The sequence below is a fragment of the Homo sapiens genome, chromosome 7 (genome assembly GCF_000001405.40).
Source record: "Homo sapiens chromosome 7, GRCh38.p14 Primary Assembly".
NCBI classification, from domain to species: Eukaryota; Metazoa; Chordata; class Mammalia; order Primates; family Hominidae; genus Homo; species Homo sapiens.
In genome coordinates, this window is record NC_000007.14 from 75,968,106 (window position 1) to 75,984,433 (window position 16,328).

A 16,328-nucleotide genomic window follows, 5' to 3' on the forward strand; every position below is an offset into this window, starting at 1 on the left:
CCTGAGGAGCCCGCTCTGAGAAGGTCAGTTCCTGACACTGTCCCTGGCGGCAGACTGCCCTCATGCCCCTTGGCCAGGGGACGCCTGCACCCTCACTCGAGTGTGGGAGACTTCCTCCTGGCGGGGACCTGCTGGAGGCCTGAAGATGCGGCTGCCTGGAGTTAACAGCAAGGTCAGCCATTCCCAGGGTTGCTGCCCCTGTCTCTGGCGAGGGACTCAGCCAGGCCTAGGCACTGGTGGCCCCTCTGGTCCAGGACTTGCACGCTGCATTTCCCTGCTTCCAAAGGAAGGAATTTGGACTGGAGACCAGGAAGGCCTCATGCACCCTCTTCTCTGCCTATAAATAATCAGGTCCCCCATGCAAATCCAGGTCTGAGGTCCTCCGATGGAATGGAGCCCATTCAGAGCAGTCCAGTGTGGGCCCTCTCGGGCTAAGCCCGTGAACTTTGCTTCTTGGAGCCCCCAGCAGGGCCTTGGGTTGGGAAGGGAGTTTCCTGGCACCCTCCCCGGCAGGATGGGTTTAACCAGCAGGAACTTGAAGGAATTGTTCTGTGTTGCGCCGGTGACCTAGAGGCACAGGTCCGCCTCCAGCTCCTTGGGTTCCCTTTTCCCCCCTGGACCACTCACACTTCCTGGGTGAACCCTAGCCTTGGGGCAGAGCAGGCTGGCACACCTTGTCCACTCTGACGTTCCAGCCCAGAGGCTCCCCTGTCCACTCCCAGGGCCAGCCAGCCTGGCATTCTGCTTTGTCCAACTGCGTCAGGAGGTCACATGGAAGCCCTCCTCCCCCGCCACTTGCCGGGCTTCTGGGATGGGAGCCGAGCTTGGAAGTTGCCATCCCTTGGCACCCCGCTTCCCGTGGGGCTGTCTCTCCAGGGGGCCGTTTTCTATTCCTGAGAAGACAGCCCAGCTCGTCCAAGAGGCCTTTCCCGGTTTCTTCAGCCATAAGCGTCTGCTCCCTTTGAAGCCCTGTGGCGTGAACCTGTCCTGTCCCATCCGTCCCTGTGGCGTGAACTGTGCCATCCATCTATGTGGTCTTAGCACATGCCACCTTGTGCCATGGATGTCTTTGAAATCACAGGCTGACCGCCTTCCAGGGAATGCCCTTTTTTCTACTGGGTGTTAACCAAGTTCCCCAGTCAGGCACTGGGGAGGCTGCAATAACCAGATGCAGCTCTTTAATAATAGTGTGGGCACGAGAGGGGCGGGGCCTGTGCAGTCCCGTGCCTGTCTAGTGTCAGAGCCAGGATTTAAAGCCAGGTCCGCCCTGCCACGTGGCTCTTCCCATCTTGCTGGGATCCTCCTCGGAGGCTGTCTTCCCCTGGCTGGAGGATTGGGCCTGTGAAGTCACAGGTTGTCTCGTTCTAGTCTCATGCCCTCGGTGCCTGGCGCAGTGCCTCCCGTGCCCCCACCTGGCTGGCCTGTGTTACCCGCCAGGCACTCACGGGGCACTGGAGTTTGCTCTTGTCCTTTTCTTCAGCAAATCTTCAGATCCACTTTGTTGGAGATGGAACTTCCCTGGAAGCATCTGTCCTTTGAGTAGAGATAGGGGTTGGCTTTTCAGCTGATGCCAGGTCAGACCTCAGAGGTGGCTAGGGAGTGAGAAGTGCCCTCAACAGCCTCTTAGTCCGCCCCTGCCAGCCTCGTGCTGGACAGAGAACTCAGGGCTGGCCACCCTAGGAGGAGACACGGCGTCCTGTGCCGTGTGCTAGGCGTCGCGCTCATGGCAGGGATACACAGACAGCCCCCAAGGTTATTCAACCCAGGCTTCCAGTTAAGCCACAGGAATGTGCAGAGTAAAGTGCCTTGGCCGACCAGTGTGTGTGCCACAGCGAAGACGGCGACAGTAGCGTTGCTGCGTGAGGGGCAGGGACGGCCTCTGGGAGAGGAAAGTTAAGTTCTGTGGTAAAGGATGAGTAGAAGGTGGGAAGGGGTCACAGGAAGGGCCTTGTAGGCCCAGGGAGCCGCGTGGAAATGTGAGTAGCTTAGCGTAGCCCAGAGAGGTGGGAAATGGGGCCGGGCCACTGCGGGAGGGGTGTTCAGAATCGGCCACTTTTCTCTTGTTTAAAATATCTGCTCTGCTGGGGTCCCCTTACTCAGGGTGTAGCTATTCTAATTATCCTTATTGTTGGAGGCTTCAAAATCAATCAGTCGGGCCCCACATGTACCACTTCTGTTTATTTATATCGGTTGGTTGGTTGATTTACAGGGTCTCCCTCTGTCTCCCGGGCTGGAACCCGGGTGTTTGAAGCTGCAGTGAGCTATGATCGCACCGCACGGTCATGTGATCGCACAGTGGTGAGATCATCGCCCACTGCAGCTTCAAACACCCAGGTTCAAGGGATCCTCCCACCTCAGCCTCCTGAGTAGCTGGGACCACAGGCACAGACCACCACACCGGGCTAATTAAAAAAAATTTTTTTTTTTAGAGGTAGAGTATTGCTGTTTTACCCAGGCTGGTCTCAAACTGGCCTCAAGTGATCCTCCCACCTTGGTTTCCCAAAGTGCTGGCATTACAAGTGTCGGCCACTGAGCTAGGTTCTTGGATACTCTCTTTAAGAAAATGCCTCTTCTTGGAAGTTGCAGTGAGCCAAGATCGTGCCACTGCACTCCAGCCTGGGCGACAAAGCGAGACTCCATCTCAAAAAAAAAAAAGAAAAAGAAAATGCCTCTTCAAGTCTTTTGATAGTTTTTCTGATGGAGGATTTGTCTTTTTCCTGTTGATTTGTAGGGCTTTCTTACATTCTCGATCAAAGTCTTTTGCCCACATATAAGTACATTACAAATATCCTCTCCCACACTGCAGCTTGCCTTTCCTTCCTTTAATGGCGTTTTTTATTTTATTTTATTTTATTTTATTTTATTTTATTTTTTGAGACAGATTCTCACTCTGTTGCCCAGGCTGGAGTACAGTGGCGTGATCTCGGCTCACTGCAACCTCCGCCTCCCTAGTTCAAGTGATTCTCCTGCCTCAGCCTCCCGAGTAGGTGAGATTACAGGTGCGCGTCACCAGGCCCGGCTAATTTTTGTATTTTTAGTAGAGACGGGGTTTTGCCATGTTGGTCAGGCTGGGCTCAAACTCCTGACTCAAGTGATCCTCCCGCCTCAACCTCCCAAAGTGCTGGAATTACGTGCATGAGCCACTATGCCCGACCAAAAATGTCATTTTAAATACAAAAATGTATTTTCATCTTCAGGTTTGTCACTTGATTCAGAATGGCCATATTTCAAATCTCCACCACCCAGAGGAAGGTGTTTCCCACCTTGCTGTATTCAGCCAGCGTTTTTCACCTCCTTCAGCTTGAAAGTCCTGGGCAAGGGGCACTGGGCTTGTTCCTCTGGCCCTGCAGGCTTGGGGCAAGGGTCAGAAGGAAACAGAAGAACGGAAAATGGGGCGGGGTGAGGGGTGGTGCGGGGGTAGAAGGCCAGAAGTGGACAGTGGACAGAAGATTGTGTCACCCCAGCCTGATCCTGAGGCTGGCGGGCACCAGGCTGCCCTCTGGAGGGGATGGACCAAGGTGAGGGCTGTAGTCCCAGGAACGCAGAGAAGGGAAAAATGAAATGTGGCCCAGTGCAGGGGAAGCAGAGGGGGTCTTTGAATCCCAGGGGAGCTGACCCTTGCGCAGGACCTTGAGGGCAGAGCGGGGGTCAGCCAGGTGAGGGGACTGTGGCAGGAAGGCTCTGGGTGGAAGCGATGGCGTGCACAGGATTCTGAGGCCACCATGCAGGGAGGGGGTGTGAATTAGGCATCAAGCTTGGTTTGTGGAGGGGAGTGGCAGGTGACGCTGGAGACAGACTCTGAGGGGACTCATGTGCCCGGATCCCATGGGTCGTGGGAGCTGTTGAAGAGCGGAGCAGGGAAGTGGCAGATGTGAGAGGCAGGGGCTGGAGAAGGAAGAGGTGAAGAGGTGGAAGGTCAGGCTGAGGTCAGGCCGTGGGGACCTGGGCTGTGGGTGGGGAGGAAGAGGGAAGTGGAAACCTTGGCTCTTCCTTGAGGGAAACAAGCCCATATCTATCTGGGTGCAGGAGAGGTCTTGGCTTTGCAAAGCACTGGTGTCGCAAGAGGCTTTACTGTAGGGGAAATGGGAAGGGTGAGCTGGTGCGGGAGGCCTGGGAGCCCTGGTGTTGGATTAGAGGCCAGCTGCTGGCTTAGCCCCTGGGGAGTGGCACGGGACAAAGCTGGAATGTCCCCTCCCTGTGCTGCCACAGCATCCCATGAAACCTGCATCTAAGGACACCCACGTCCCGTGACACCTGTGTCCCATGACACCTGCCTCCCACGCTCATTGCACACTTTTGTCTTGCAGGACCTCCTCTGTCAGAGAGAGCAGCTTTGTGGAAAAGATGAAGAAAACGGTGAGTTTCCTGCATGTCTTTACTCTTCTCAGGAAGCCTCGGCCCCGATGGGCATGTAATCAAGTCTAGCAGACGGCTGGCGTCACCGCATAGAGGATGTCCCGGTGGCCAGGAGAGGGAACGCAGCCCGGCTCGCTTGGGAGTCATTCTTGCCTAACCAAAGCCCTGAAGCAGCTCTGCTGTTGCTGGGACAGTTTGTTTCCTTGAATCTTTACTTTTTGAACAAACCAAAGTCTAAGAACAGACCCTCCCTCTAACTCACGAAGCTTCTCCCGTCTGGCCCTGGCCTGTCCAGGAGCAGAGGTAAATCTCACAGAGCTGCGGTCGTGGCACCACTGCCATTTTCTCTCCGCTTTGTTTTTGTTACTTTTTTTTTTTTGAGATGGAATCTCGCTCTGTCACCCAGGCTGGAGTGCAGTGGCGCAATCTCGGTTCACTGCAAGCTCCACCTCCCGGGTTCAAGCCATTCTCGTGCCTCAGCCTCCCGAGTAGCTGGGATTACAGGTGCGTGCCACCACGCCCAGCTAATTTTTGTATTTTTAATAGAGATGGGATTTCACCATGTTGGCCAGACTGGTCTTGAACTCCTGACCTCAGGTGATCCGCCCGCCTCAGCCTCCCAAAGTGCTGGGATTACAGGCGTGAACCACCGCACCCAGCCAATTTAACTATTTAATTGTAGGCATCAGTACTACATTTACATAGTTAAAATAAAAACATCCACTATTCAGTGGAAAGCTCCCCTCTGCCACCCACTCATCCCCACTGTTCTTATTATTTATGGATCCTTCTAGAGTTCCTGTATGAACATACAAGTAAAACAAACAGAGACTCTTATTTTTAATTTAAAAAAACCTTTATTTTATTTTAGAGACAGGGTCTCACTGTGTTGCCCAGGCTGGAGTGCAGCGGCGCCATCATAGCTCACTGCAGCCTCAAACTCCTAGACTCAAGCCATCCTCCTACCACAGCCTCCCAAGTAGCTGGGACTACAGGTGCACACCACCACGCCTGGCTAATTTTTTAATTTATTCTTCATAGGAACAGGTTCTCGCTATGTTGCCCAGGCTGGTCTTGAACTCCTGGCCTCAAGCAATCCTTCTGCCTCCGCCTCCCAAAGTGCTGGGACTGTAGGTGCGAGCCATTGCATCCAGCCTACACTTTTCTTAAAACACAAAACGTGGCATACTATGTGCACTGTTCCAGACCTTGCTTTTTTTTTTTTTTTTTTTTTTTTTGAGACAGAGTCTCGCTCTGTCGCCCAGGCTGGAGTGCAATGGCACGGTCTTGGCTCACTGCAACCTTCACCTCCTCGGTTCAAGTGATTCTCCCGCATCAGCCTCCGGAGTAGTTGGGGTTAGACGCCTGCCACCGTGCCTGGCTAATTTTTGTATTTTTAGTAGAGACGGGGTTTCACCATGTTGACCAGGCTGGTCTCAAACTGCTGACCTCGTGATCCATCTGCCTCGGTCTCCCAAAGTGCTGGGATTACAGGCGTGAGCCACTGCGCCCGGCTGACCTTGCTTTAAAAAAAAAAGAACACAAAACAACTTGATATGTCTCAAAGATCCTTCCATATCAATACAAAGATACTGCCATCATCTTAGCTGTACCATGATTCCATTATATGGCCATCTGGATTCACTGTAACGCACTTAACCCTGTCCTATTAAAGATGGGCACTGGGGCTGTTGCTACTCTTTGGCTCTTACCAACAATGTCACTGTGAATATGTAGCTCGGTTTGCACATTTCAAATACAAAGCAGTCCCAGAAGTGGAATTGCTGGATTGGAAGGTAGATGTGTTTGCAATCGTGATAGAAGCTACAAATCGTCCCCGTAGGAGTCACACCGTGGCACGCGCTCAAGAATAGCGACGTGTGAGAAAACTGTTCCCCACAGCCTTGCCAACAGTTTGTTATTAAAGTTTAGATTTTTGTCAGTTTTCTAGGCTTAAAAAAAAAACTCAGTATAGTTGTAATTTACATTTTTATGAATGAGATTCAGTAGATTTTCACCCACCTAGGTCTAGATGGCTTCGTTTCTTTTTCTTTTTTCTTTTCTTTTTTTTTTTTTTTTTTTTGAGACAGGGTCTCGCTTTGTTGCCCAGGCTGGAGTGCAGTGGTGTGATCTCAGCTCACTGCAATCTCCACCTCCCGGGTTCAAGCAATTCTCATGCCTCATTCTCCTGAGTAGCTGGGATTACAGGTGCGTGCTACCATGCCTGGCTAACTTTTGTATTTTCAGTAGAGACAGGGTTTTGCCATGTTGGCCAGGCTGGTCTCGAACTCCTGACCTCAGGTCATCCACTCAACTTGGCCTCCCAAAGTTCTGGAATTACAGGCCTGAACCACCGCACCCAGCCTCTTTTTTCTTTTTTTAATAGATTCTCTCTTCACATCTTTTGCCTGCTTTTCTGTTGGGATTGATCTTTCTCCTTGAAATTATTAGGGAGATGAATCTCTTGTCTGTGATATAAGTTGAAAATATCTTGCCCGTTAAAGAGTTTGTCTTTTAGTGAGATTCCATCTCTTAAAAAAAAGTTTGTCTTTCAACCTAGCTGATCGCATTTTTATTTGTTTTGCTGTGTAAAAGTTACAGAGTCACCTATATGATTCTTTCTTTTCGTGACTTCTGGTCTTAGAGTCATAATTTGAAGGTCTTCCCCATGCTAAAGAGATAAAGATATTCCTGTATTTTTTTTTTCTAGTACTTTTAGGGTTTTGTTTTTCATATTCAAAATTTAAAATCTGATCTATTGGGAATTTATCCTGATGTAAGATGTGAGGTATGAATCCAACTCTACATTTTACATAGCTGTCTAAACACCATGTATTAGAGTCCATCTTTCCCCCACTGGTTTGAAATGCCACCTTTATCATATACTTAATTCCTGGGCTGGGCGCAGTGGCTCATGCCTGTAATCCCAACACTTTGGGAGGCCGAGATGGGCAGGTCGCTTGAGCCCAGGAGTTTGAGACCAGCCTGGGCAACATGGCGAAACCCCATCTCCACAAAAAATAGAAAAATTAGTGGGACACAGTGGTGCGCACCTATAGTCCCCGCTACCTGAGAGGCTGAAGTGGGAGGATAGCTTGAGCTTGGGAGGCACAGATTGCAGTGACCACTGGACTCAAACCTGGGCAACAGCTACACCCTGTGTCAAATAATAATAATAATAGCTGGGTCTCTGGGTTCTTTTCACTGGGCGCAACGTGTTCAAGGTTCACCCACACTGTAGCATATGTTAGTACTTCCTTTTTATTGCCAAATAATGTTTTAATATATGGATTCTTACTTATTTTTCCGTGACTTTTAGGATCAATTTGTTGAGGAAAAAAAAGCTGTTCAGATTTTTTTTTTTTTTTTTGGTAGAGACTGGGTCTCACTCTGTTGCCCAGGCTGTTCTCAAACTCCTGGGCTTAAGCAGTCCTCCTGGTGTGGCCTCCCAGGGTACTGGGATTACAGGTGTGAGCCACTGCACCCAGCTGGTTCAGATTTCTATTACATCATGCCACATTTCTCTAGTGACATAAATAGAGCTGCCATTTTTGTGGGTCGAGACTCCCTGTCCATAATCGGGGTGCTTTTCCATTGGCGTGAGTCCTTTGTGTGTAGTTCAGTAGCTTCTGACACATCTCTTACAAAGTTTATTTCTAGGTATTTTATATATTTTGATGCTCCTGTAAATATTTAGCTGCTATCTTAGGTCATCTTTTGTTCTCTTAACCTGATAATCATGAGCACTTTCTCTTCTATTAAGTATTTTTACGGTGATTATTTTAAAATATCCTTTTGGGCGAAAACCCTGTCTCTACTAAAAATACAAAAATTAGCCGGGCGTGGTGGCATGCACCTGTAGTCCCAGGTACTCGGGAGGCTGATGCAGGAGAATCACTTGAACCCGGGAGGCGGAGGTTGCATTGAGCCAAGATCGCACCACTGCACTCCAGCCTGGCCAACAGAGCAAGATTCCATCTAAAAAAAAAAAAAATCCTTTTGGCCGGGTGCAGTGGCTCATGTCTGTAATCCCAGCACTTTGGGAGGCTGAGACGGGCGGATCACCTGAGGTCAGGAGCTTTGAGACCAGCTGGACCAACATGGTGAAACCCTGTCTCTACTAAAAACACAAAAAATTAGCCAGGCATGGTGACGGACACCTGTAATCCCAGCTATTCAGGAGGCTGAGGCAGGAAAATCGCTTGAACCCAGGAGGCAGAGGTTTCAGTGAGCCGAGATCGCACCACTGCACTCCAGCCTAGGCGACAAGAGCAAAACTCTGTCTCAAGAAAAAAAAAAACAATTTTTAATGATTTAACAATGATTTGTGGAAAATTCAGGAACTTTAAAAAGTATAAGAACATTTATTGTAATCCCTAAGTTTTTTTTGGTGGTGGTTTTGTTTTGAGACTCAGTCTCACTCCTGTCACCCAGGCTGGAGTGCAGTGGCTCAATCACAGCTCACTTCAGCCTCAACCTCCCAGGCTCAAGTGATCCTCCCACCTCAGCCTCCCAAGTAGCTAGAACCATAGGCATGCGCCACCACACCCAGATAAATTTTTTGTATTTTTAGTAGAGACAGGGTTTTGCCATGTTGCCCAGGCTGGTCTCAAACTCCTGGGCTCAAGTCATCCTCTTACCTCGGCCTCCCAAAGTACTAGGATTACAGAAGTGAGCCACGGCACCCGGCCGCGTAAGTTTTATTTTGTATGAGGTGGGATTCAGTGTGAAAACTAGAGACTACTTTAGGCATTTTAATCTGGAAGGGATTTCACACAGGGAAGGGGGTACTTCCAGGTTACTGGAGGGGCTGAAGGAGCAGGTTGGTCTCTAAGATATCACAGAAGCAACCTGCAAGGTAGCTGCTCTGTTCGAATGCAGCCTGAAACTGTTGAGTTCAGGACACACCACGTGTAGCTGTGATCCAGGATAAGAAGCTACTTCTACAGCTGCCTCTGAACATCACATAAGCCAGTAGCCAGGACTAGGAACTTGCAGTCTGGCTACCAAAACTATTAGAAATACCTCAGGTGGCTGGGTGCGGTGGCTCACGCCCGTAATCCCAGCACTTTGGGAGGCCAAGGTGGGCAGATCACCTGAGGTCAGGAGTTCGAGACCAGCCTGGCCAACGTGTTGAAACCCAGTCTCTACTAAAAATTCAAAAAAATTAGCCTAGCATAGTGGTGGGTGCCTGTAATCCCAGCTACTCAGGAGGCTGAGGCACGAGAATTGCTTGAACCCAGGAGGCAGAGGTTGCAGTGAACTGAGATCGTGCCATTACACTCCAATCTGGGCGTCAGAGCGAGACTCCGTCTCACACACAAAAATAAAAAAAAGAAAAGAAAAAAAGAAAAATGCCTTAGGCACTGAAGACCAGGCACTGCAGAGAACCTCACATGTGCATGAGGGGCCAGGAAGCCTTGGCCTCCCTTCCACCCTTCAGATCTTGCAAAGCACGTTCAATTGGCTGAACCGAATTGGCTGCAACTCCAGCCCCAACGGGCTCTGGGGAATAGGATTTCAGGCTTTTCAACAGCTGCTGGAGGAGGAGGGTGGACTGACGAGTATGTGAGCCAGCCCCTAGGACCTTTCCCTGTTGTAAAATTTTATAATGAATATGTATTTAACCAGCAAAACACATCCAGAATGCCCCATTTAGGGACCCTCGGTATATTTCTTGCCAGTCTGTTTTCTTTGTGCCTGTGGGTATAGAAAGAAAATACATATGTATGTTTTGATATACATATCTATTATTTATATAACACAATTGGATTGTATAGCCAGCCCTGCATATCCGTGAGTTCGGAGTTCAAGAATTCAACTGCAGACTGAAAATATTTGGAGAAAAAATGGATTGTTGTGTCTGTCCTGAACACATACTGTCATCTTACTGTTCCCTAAACAATACAGCATAGCAACTATTTACAGAGAATTTACATTACATTAAGTATTACATTAATAAGTAATCTAGAGATGATTTAAAGTATGTTGGAGGATGTGTGTAGGCTACACACAAATACCACATCATTTTATAGCAGGGACTTGAGCATCCTTGGATTTTTGTTTTTTGGGTTTTTTTGTGATGGAGTTTTGCTCTTGTAGCCCAGGCTGGAGTGCAATGGCGCGATCTCGGCTCACCACAACCTCTGCCTCCCAGGTCCAAGCGATTCTCCTGCCTCAGCCTCCCAAGTAGCTGGGATTACAGGCATGTGCCACCATGCCCGGCTAATTTTGTATTTTTAGTAGAGACAGGGTTTTCTCCATATTGGTCAGGCTGGTCTTGAACTCTCGACCTCAAGTCATCCACCCGCCTTGGCCTCCCAAAGTGCTGGGATTATAGGCGTGAGCCACTGGAGGTGGAGTCTTGCTCTGTCACCCAGGCTGGAGTGCAGTGGCGTGTTCTCAGTTCACTGCAACCTCCACCTCCTGGGTTCAAGCTGTTTTCCTGCCTCAGCCTCCCTAGTAACTGGGATTACAGGTGCACGCCACCATGCCCGGCTAATTTTTGTAGTTTTAGTAGAGATGGAGTTTCACCATGTTGGTCAGGCTGGTCTTGAACTCCTGACCTCAGGTAATCTGCCAGCCTCAGCCTCCCAAAGTGCTGGGATCACAGGTGTGAGCCACCACGCCCGGCTGCATCCTTGGATGTAAGTATCTATGGGAGGTCCTGGAACCATTCCCCCACGGATAGGGGCTATACATTTGGTTACTTTTTTTAACTTTGTTTTTTCCCCGTGTCATGAAAATGTCAGAAGTGTGATCTTGAGCAGCCGCGTGTGTGAGATTGCCTTGGTGACCTTTGCCCTCCTTTGCCACAGTGGCTGTGACAGTGAGAAGCAAGTCCCAGAGGAACTTAGAAGGGACTCAAAGCCAGGAAGGAAAGGGGGCGGCCTGGAGGGCCCCCGCCTGCCAGGCCTGCCCAGTGGGTGTTCACCGGAGCCGTGGCTGAGGTCTGTGGCCCTCACCAACCCTGTGTCTGCCTTCCTTAGGGGAGGAACATCATCGTGTTCTACGGCTCCCAGACGGGGACTGCAGAGGAGTTTGCCAACCGCCTGTCCAAGGACGCCCACCGCTACGGGATGCGAGGCATGTCAGCGGACCCTGAGGAGTATGACCTGGTAAGCTGCCACCGCGTGCTGGCCCCAGATGGAGGCAGTGGGTAGGACAGGGAGCAGGTCTGTAGGGCGCCCCTCAGCAGGGGGAGGCCGGCAGGGAGTGGGGTCCTGGGAAGACGTCCTCGGAAGTTGCCTTCCCGTGAGGGTCATTGCCATCCCTGCCCGGGCTGACTGACGGAAGGGCCATTCCTGCAGTTGCAGCCACGTGCCAGGCATCGTTTCCCCAGGACTGGCCCTCCCCTGAGTGCCGGCTGCCCTCCTGGCGGCCGCCACATCTCCCAAACCAAACCCACCCTCCCCAGCTGCTCCACTCCCCTCTCCTTCGAGGTCTTGGTGACGGGCACTACCCCACAGCCCTCTCCAGGCTGCATTTGCAGTTGATGAACAGTTTAGTTAGATATCAGTGTGCACCGGGGCTGTGCGGTGCCTGGGAGCTTTGGAATGAGGTTCCCAGGGTGGCCCCAGACCTGCATCAGCTCAGGAGGCTGCATTCTGATGGCTCTTTTGTGCCAAGCTTCACTTTCCTCTAGAAACACATCCTCTCCGCTCCAGCCTAACACGGGTGACCTTGTCCTGCCCACCTGGCACAAATGCCCATGCCCCAGCCCCTCCGTGTTGTTACTTCTCTCTGATCCCACGACACTCAGACATCCCTGGCCTGGTGCCACCCTGGGCAGGACCTGGCCTTCCCCATCTGGTGCGGGTTGAACCTTGAACAGGCTCAGTCATGGCCGGGGCGCGGTCCTGTCCCTGTTTCTGCAGGCCGACCTGAGCAGCCTGCCAGAGATCGACAACGCCCTGGTGGTTTTCTGCATGGCCACCTACGGTGAGGGAGACCCCACCGACAATGCCCAGGACTTCTACGACTGGCTGCAGGAGACAGACGTGGATCTCTCTGGGGTCAAGTTCGCGGTGAGTCACCCAGAGACTGCTATGGGCTCCCGGTGGCCTGCGGTGCCTCCCTGGGGACTCCAGATCCATGTATCTGAAAGGCAGCCCTCCAGACCCCCACCCTGTCCTCAGCAGCCAGGGCAGGCCACTTGTGAGACCCTCTCCTCTGCCCCAGACCCCAGCACTACGAGAATGTCCCCTCCCTGTCCCCAGCCCCAGTCGGCTCCAGGGGGCATTGGGTGCTGGAGACTAAAGGCAAGAAAGGTCTGGCTGGACGACTGAGACCTGCCTGGCCTCGGAGAGCTGGAGCCCCAGCCCGGTGGGGAGGGTGGGCTGGCCCCGCTTCCCTGTGGGTTGAGGCTGGCAGTGGACGGGGCAGGCTGTGGGCTGCAGGTCAACCAGATGAAGCCTCTTCAGTGGCCCAGTGTTCCTTGCAGTGCGAGGCGCCTGGTGGAACGGAGGCCTGCAGGTGTTGCCAGCAGCTCAGCCAGTGCTGTGGGGCCTCCCGCCCTGCCCCCATGGCCCCTCCCACTGGTCAGGTCGAGGGCCAGGCCTCAGAGCGGCCCCTGTGTCCACGCAGGTGTTTGGTCTTGGGAACAAGACCTACGAGCACTTCAATGCCATGGGCAAGTACGTGGACAAGCGGCTGGAGCAGCTCGGCGCCCAGCGCATCTTTGAGCTGGGGTTGGGCGACGACGATGGGAAGTGAGTGCCCACCCTGCCACCATGATCAGCGCGGCGGGCTTAGGCAGGGGCCGTGGAACGTGAGGGGCGCGCACACCATTGTGTCAGCTGAGACTCAGCGACACGCACCTCCAACACAGAGGGAAGGGGCTCTCCTGCCTCTGCCCTGCCCCTGCCAGTTTTGCTTTTCGGCTTGCCCAACTCCCTGGAGCCTTCCTGATGCTCTGGGTTTATGTCGCTGGGTGCCCCAGGGTGCACAGTCCTGAGCTTTGGGGATGGGGTGGGGTCGGGGCGTGCCTGGCACCAGGTACCGTTGCCACATGGGCCTCCCCTGAGCCGCTCCCCCTCTCCTCTCCTCGGCCCAGCTTGGAGGAGGACTTCATCACCTGGCGAGAGCAGTTCTGGCCGGCCGTGTGTGAACACTTTGGGGTGGAAGCCACTGGCGAGGAGTCCAGGTGAGCAAGTGCCCGCAGGTGCGGTGGGTGGCCTGGGCGGGTCCTGTGCCGAGGGCAGCCACCCTGGAACAAGGGCTGGCAGTGGGTCGCAGCAAGGTTAGAAGACACTCCGTCATAGGGTCGAGGAGGGACCTTGGTCCCAGCCAAGGACTCACTCTGCCACGTTGCTCTGCACTGCCCTGGGGCAGCGGGGTGCATCCCACCTCTCGACAAGGACACATCGCGTCGGGCTCTGTGGCTAGGTTCAACTTTGGCAAAAGGGCTCATTTCCTTAAAATCTGCCTCCACAGACTTGGCCAAAAACATAACGTTCCTCTCTGTGCCCTTGATGGCCCCTGGGTGCTGCCCGGGCTTCCTTACCTTCTCCCAGATGGAAGCCTGCCCAGCCCTGCCCCGGCTTCTGGGCGTCTGGCCCCCGGCAGCTCCACGCCGCCTCCCTCCTTGCTCCCTCGCCTGCCCTCCTTGTGCATCTGCAGCAGGGGCTCCCCTGCTTCTTGTCGTATGTACCTGGGACCTCACCCCAAAGGCCATGCACGGTCTCCCCTGTAGTCCAACCCCTCCCTCTCGGGACTGACCCCTGCCGCTTCCCGGCCTCACCCTTGGTCTCCCCTTTCCAGCATTCGCCAGTACGAGCTTGTGGTCCACACCGACATAGATGCGGCCAAGGTGTACATGGGGGAGATGGGCCGGCTGAAGAGCTACGAGAACCAGAAGCCGTGAGTGGAGGGAGCGTGGCTTGGGGCAGACGGCTCTATGGCCACTGGTGCACCCCAGGCTCAGTCTGCCGTGTATCCCCATATCCCCACAGGGCCCTTCTCACCAGACCCCGTGCCCCGAGTGGGTGTGAGTGTCCACGACCTGTCCACGGCCCGGCCCCAGGAGACTGGCACTCGCCCAGTTTGTACTGAGCTCACTTAGCCACCTTACTCTGCACTGCCCAGGGCAGCGGGGCACATCCCACTTCTCGACTAGGACAGTGCATTGGCCTCTGTGGCTAGGATCCTCTTTGGCAGAAGGGCTCATTTTCTTAGAATCTATCTCCATAGATAGACTTGGGGGAGAAACCTGGCGTTCCTCTCTGTGCCCTTGATGGCCCCTGGTTGCTGCCCAGATTCCTGCCCGAGCCACCCAGGGAAGTCCTCGTGCCACTGCATCCAAGACCAGCTGCCCTGCTTTCTGTAGGCCTGCCCCAGCCTGGCTGGAGCGAGAAGCCCTGCATGTCGGTGGCTTTCCGGAGTGCAAGTTTCTCTCTTGTCCACGGTGTAGTCCAGGACGTGTGGGGGTGGGGGAGCTGTGCTCCTCATTTGGGGACCAGCCACCTTCCAGCCTGTGGCACCGTCAGCTTGGGCCTCACAGTTCTTTTAGGGGCCAGCCTCAGTTTCCACATCTGTAAACAGACACTGATGACCCAGCTCTGCCCATGTGGTGGGACTATAGAGAGAACTGCATTAGGGCTGGGCGAGGTGGCTCACAGCTCTAATCCCAGCACTCTGGGAGGCCGAGGTGGGTGAATCACCTGAGGTCAGGAGTTCAAGACCAGCCTGGCCAACATGGTGAAACCCCGTCTCTAGTAAAAATATAAAAGTTAACCAGGCATGGTGGCGAATGCCTGTAATTCCAGCTGCTCAGGAGGCTGAGGCAGGAGAATTGCTTGAACCTGGGAGGCAGAGGTTGCAGTGAGCCGAGATCGCGCCGCTGCACTCCAGCCTGGGTGGCAGAGCGAAACTCTGTCTCAAAAAAAAAAAAGAGAACTGCATTGGACCAGGCTGGGAGAGCCCTTGATGTAACCGGTGAGATTTCCTCATGGAGATCTCTGAGATTCCCTGTGCTTTGTGCAACCAGAAGCGTCCTTGGAGACGGAGACTCAGATCAAAGCCCCGGCCGCTCACTGTGCTTCTCTCCTCCCCACCCAGCCCCTTTGATGCCAAGAATCCGTTCCTGGCTGCAGTCACCACCAACCGGAAGCTGAACCAGGGAACCGAGCGCCACCTCATGCACCTGGAATTGGACATCTCGGACTCCAAAATCAGGTACCAGCTGCCACTGTCACCCCCTGAACCCTCACTCTGGGCCTCCTGACCTGGGGCAGGGCCAGCCTTCCGCCCCTCCCGAGCCTCACATCTCCCTCCAGGTATGAATCTGGGGACCACGTGGCTGTGTACCCAGCCAACGACTCTGCTCTCGTCAACCAGCTGGGCAAAATCCTGGGTGCCGACCTGGACGTCGTCATGTCCCTGAACAACCTGGATGGTGAGTGCCACAGTCAGGGCGCCCTGCCGGGCTCAGGCAGCCGCGGGATTGGGCCTGTAGGAAGGCCCTGGGTTGAGCTTCTGCTTAGGCCTGAAGCCCCGGTGCCTGGGAGGCCCTTGCACCGAGACTCCACGGTTACAGGATCCCAAGCAAACGGGAGGCGGGGTGGCCCTAGGGGTCTAGCCCTCTCTGTCGGGGTTCCCCCTACCCCGTCACTGTCATAGTCCTTTAAGGGAGTGAGGTGCTGAGGCCTGGTGGCAGAGGCAGCCCTGGCTCCCCCATGGCCACTGTGTCCTGCTGGGAAGGAGGGCCTGGCTCCACGACCCACCTCTGCCGGCCTGGGGCTGCCCCCACCTCCTCACTGAAGTCAGGAGTCAGCAGCCCTCCCAGGCCCCCAAGGGTGCACAGTGGTGCCGAGTGGCAGTAGCCATTACGCGGGGCTGCCTGGGCCTGGTGGGGCTGCCCAGCCTGAGCCTCCCGCTGTGAAGCCCTCGGACCCCACTGGTCACCAACCTGGGCCGAGCCCACCTCGCCCCACCCCTGCTTGCCGGTCCTCAGCTGCCATGCCAGGGCTGCC

The 16,328-nt window shown here is 53.8% G+C and overlaps 1 protein-coding gene across 7 annotated transcripts in view, besides 1 other annotated feature; it reads left to right on the top strand.

The window, feature by feature from the left end:
• POR (cytochrome p450 oxidoreductase) overlaps nt 1–16,328 on the top strand; it is a 71,701-nt gene that overhangs the window by 52,951 nt on the left and 2,422 nt on the right. For all 7 annotated transcript variants that reach the window (NM_001382662.3, NM_001382659.3, NM_001367562.3 and 4 more), the window contains 8 exons: nt 4,308–4,356; nt 11,346–11,474; nt 12,234–12,383; nt 12,943–13,067; nt 13,412–13,501; nt 14,119–14,217; nt 15,415–15,531; nt 15,633–15,751. In NM_001382662.3, coding sequence (NP_001369591.2) covers nt 4,308–4,356; nt 11,346–11,474; nt 12,234–12,383; nt 12,943–13,067; nt 13,412–13,501; nt 14,119–14,217; nt 15,415–15,531; nt 15,633–15,751 — 878 coding nt within the window. The remainder of the gene's footprint in view (nt 1–4,307; nt 4,357–11,345; nt 11,475–12,233; nt 12,384–12,942; nt 13,068–13,411; nt 13,502–14,118; nt 14,218–15,414; nt 15,532–15,632; nt 15,752–16,328) is intronic.
• Nucleotides 14,664–15,863: an enhancer, noted in NCBI's record as "CDK7 strongly-dependent group 2 enhancer chr7:75612087-75613286 (GRCh37/hg19 assembly coordinates)". NCBI's record gives its function as "activates an origin of replication core promoter dependent on BRD2, BRD4, P300/CBP, MED14 and CDK7 cofactors, with strong dependence on CDK7, by STARR-seq in HCT116 cells {active_cell/tissue: HCT116}" and the evidence as "EXISTENCE:reporter gene assay evidence [ECO:0000049][PMID:35650434]".